This window comes from Homo sapiens, chromosome 8 (genome assembly GCF_000001405.40).
Source record: "Homo sapiens chromosome 8, GRCh38.p14 Primary Assembly".
NCBI classification, from domain to species: domain Eukaryota; kingdom Metazoa; phylum Chordata; class Mammalia; order Primates; family Hominidae; genus Homo; species Homo sapiens.
Genome location: NC_000008.11, coordinates 42,126,286 through 42,129,748, shown reverse-complemented (window position 1 = coordinate 42,129,748; position 3,463 = coordinate 42,126,286). Strand labels below are relative to the sequence as shown.

The following is a 3,463-nucleotide window of genomic DNA, read 5'->3' as shown; positions in this document are numbered from 1 at the left end:
TTAGTGAGGATGTGAAGAAATTGCAACCCAGTAGCTCACACCTGTAGTCCCAGCACTTTGGGGAGCCCGAGGTAGGAGGTTCACTTGAGGTCAGGAGTTCCAGGCCAGTCGGGGCAACATAGTGAGACCCCCATCTCCACAAAAAATTAAAAATTAAAAAATTAGCTGCGTGTGGTGGCACGTGACTGTAGTCCCAGCTACTCAGGTGGCAGAGGTGGGAGGATCCCTTGAGCCCAGGAAGTGGAGGCTGCAATGAGCCGTGATAGTGCTCCACTGCCTGACAGAGCAAGTTGCCGTCTCTACAAAAATAAATAATGAAATTGGAGCCTTCTGGGAATGTAAAATGGTGCAGTGGCTGTAGAAAACAGTTTGGTGGGTCTTTAATAAGTTACACATAGAATTACCATATGAGAGCCCACACCTGATGGCTGGCCCCGCCCCACTCACCTAGCCCAGCGCCTTCTCTGCACCAGGAAAGCCCCACTCACCTGAAGCCAAGCTGTCCAGCAGGCAGGCCATGGCCAGACCACCGAGAAGCCACAGTGGGCCACATCCAATGTCTTCGTGATGTTTGACCAGCCCCAATCTGGGAGTTTAAGGAGGTCTTCCACGGGTTTGCCCAGAGCTGTGATGGCTTCATTGACAAAGAAGGCCTGGCCTCGCTGGGGAAGAACCCCATGGTGAACAGCCGGAGGGTGAGATGAGTGAGGCCCCGGGGCCCATCAACTTCACCATGCTGCTCACTGTGTTTGGGGAGCAGCTGAACCGCATGGACCCTAAGGATGTGATCTGCAACACTTCGATGAGGAAGCCTCAACTTCAGGTTTTATCCAGGAAGCCCGCCACGGTGACCACCTCACAGACCAGCAAGTGGGCGAGTTGTACCCGGAGGTGCCTGTTGACAAAAAAGGCAACTTCAACTATGTGGAGTTCACCCGCATTCTCAAACACGGCACCAAGGACAGAGACCACTAGGCCATCCCAGTCGTCCTGACGCCCAGGCCCTGTCCCAGTCACCCCTCCCCGCACACACAGTCTGTACCAGCTCCATGCCCACGACCCTGCAAGACCCTCTCAGGGGGTCCCCCCTTTGAGAGGTTAGGATCCCAGCTCCCAGTGGAGGAAACGGGCCAAGAAATGTGAATGCCAGGCAAGGAGCACACTATGGAGCTGAGGCCGGTGTTCCCACCATGACCCCAGGACCAGGGGAGGGAGCCTCAGACCCCTCCAAGGAAAGATCACCTTCTGGGGAGATGGGCCAAGGGCAGGAACTGGAGGCACCAAGGGAAGACTCCTCAAGAGAGCTCAGGCCTTGGCCGAGGCCTGCCCATTCCTGGGCTGCCCCCTAGGAGGAAGGGGCCTTGAGTTGTGGGATCTGACACTACTTCACGTGCATTCTCACATAAACACAAGCTCACCAAGGTCCCCTCTCAAAGGACAGGACGCCAGACCCCTCCCCTACACCCTGTCCGGCACCAGAGCACACCCACACACAGCACACCACCCACTGTGGGAGTGTACTCACGAGGACGCAGAGGGAGGGACATCCGACCCAGGGGAGGCAGAATCTCCAATAGAGGGCTGAGCACTGAAAAGAAAAAGAAAGAAAGAATTACTGTGTAAACCAGCAATTCCACTCTTAGGTATAGGCCCAAGAGAATTGAAAACATACGTTCACACAAAAACTTGTGCACAAATGTTTACAGCAGTGTTATTCACAACAGCACAAAACTGGAGACAACCCAAATGTCCATCAACCAATGAATGGAGAAACAAAATGTGATACATTCATGCAGTGGGCTACTATTCAGTCATAAAAAGGAATGAAATGCTGCTCCATGCTACATCAGGATGAACCTTGAAAACATGATGCTAAGTTGGCTGGGTGTGGTGGCTCACGCCTCTAATCCCAGCACTTTGGGAGGCCGAGGCAGTCAGTTCACCTGAGGTCAGGAGTTCGAGACCAGCCTGGCCAATATGGTGAAACCCCATCTCTACTAAAAATATAAAAATTAGCCGGGCATGGTGGTGGGCTCCTATAATCCCAGATACTCGGGAGGCTGAGACAGGAGAATCGCTTGAATCCAGGAGGCGGAGGTTGCAGTGAGTGGAGATTGTGCCACTGCACTCCAGCCTGGGTGACAGAGTGAGACTCTGTCTCAAAAAACAAACAAACAAAAAAATTACGCTAAGTGAATGGAGACAGGCACCAAAGACCACGTATTATATGATTCCACTTATGTGAAATGTCCAGAATGGGAAATCTACCTTATGGGAAACCAGAAAGTAGATTTATGGTTGCTAGGGGATAGGGAGGGGAGAAAATTGCCGCTAATTACTTATAGGTACAGGGTTTCTTTTGGGGTGGTGAAAATGTTCTAGAGTCGATAGTGGTGATGGTTGCACAGCATGTTCACTATAACTAAAACCACTAAAGTGTATACTTCAAAATGGGTGAATTTTACATCATGTAATTTATATTTGATTTTTTTAAATGAAAAAAATATTATGGGGATGGGTTTAAAATTACAAAAAAGCATCCCAAATAAAATAACAATCATTAATTATACCATTATCTAGTATTAACCCTGTTAAGCATATTCTTTATATGTGTACAAACAATAAGTCTTCATAATAATTTAAATAATGTAGTTTATATAAAGAAGTTTGAAGATGAAAAAAATCACTCCAAATCCCATCAATTACTACCTTTAGGGAAATATTAGTTCTAGATATAGCATACACATGCTGACACACACACACACACCCCTAAAAGAAGAGAAAGATTTTATTAGAATAGCATTAAGTATAGGATGTTCTTTTAAAGTATACAATTTAATTTTATTTGCATTTGATAGAGTAAAAAGAAAGTGAAATACATCTAGAGGAACTGTTGAATTTTCAAGTAAATGCTTCTGCACAATAAAATACATTATTAAAAATCTTCTGGGTTTAAAGAGTTGGAGACAGAGAAGGAGGGAGGGAGAAAGAAGAGAAAAAAACACTAGAGATTATGAAAAATAAAGCTAGTGTCTATTTTTAAAAACTCTATAGTTCCATTTCAGGTAGCGGCCAGTGTTCTCCTGCTTTGGAAGATGAGGGCATAGCTCTTACTCTCTCCCAGCCCCCACATTTTTTTGTTTGTTTGTTTTTTGAGATGGAGTTTCGTTCTTGTCTCCCAGGCTGGAGTCCAATGGCGCAATCTCGGCTCACTGCAACCTCCGCCTCCCAGGTTCAAGTGATTCTCCTGCCTCAGCCTCCTGAGTAGACCATGCTGGCTAATTTTTGTATTTTTAGTAGAGATGGGGTTTTACCATATTGGCCAAGATGGTCTCGAACTCCTGACCTCAGCTGATCCTGGGATTGCAGGAGTGAGCCACCGTGCCCAGTCCAGCCCCCATGTTTTATGCCCTCTGTGGTATCATTAGTTATATTGCTATTCTCATACTGTCCAGGTTTGTAT

General features: G+C 47.1%; 1 pseudogene; it reads left to right on the top strand.

Moving 5' to 3' along the window:
- On the top strand, positions 440-1,591 carry LOC101059972 (myosin light chain 9 pseudogene; annotated as a pseudogene).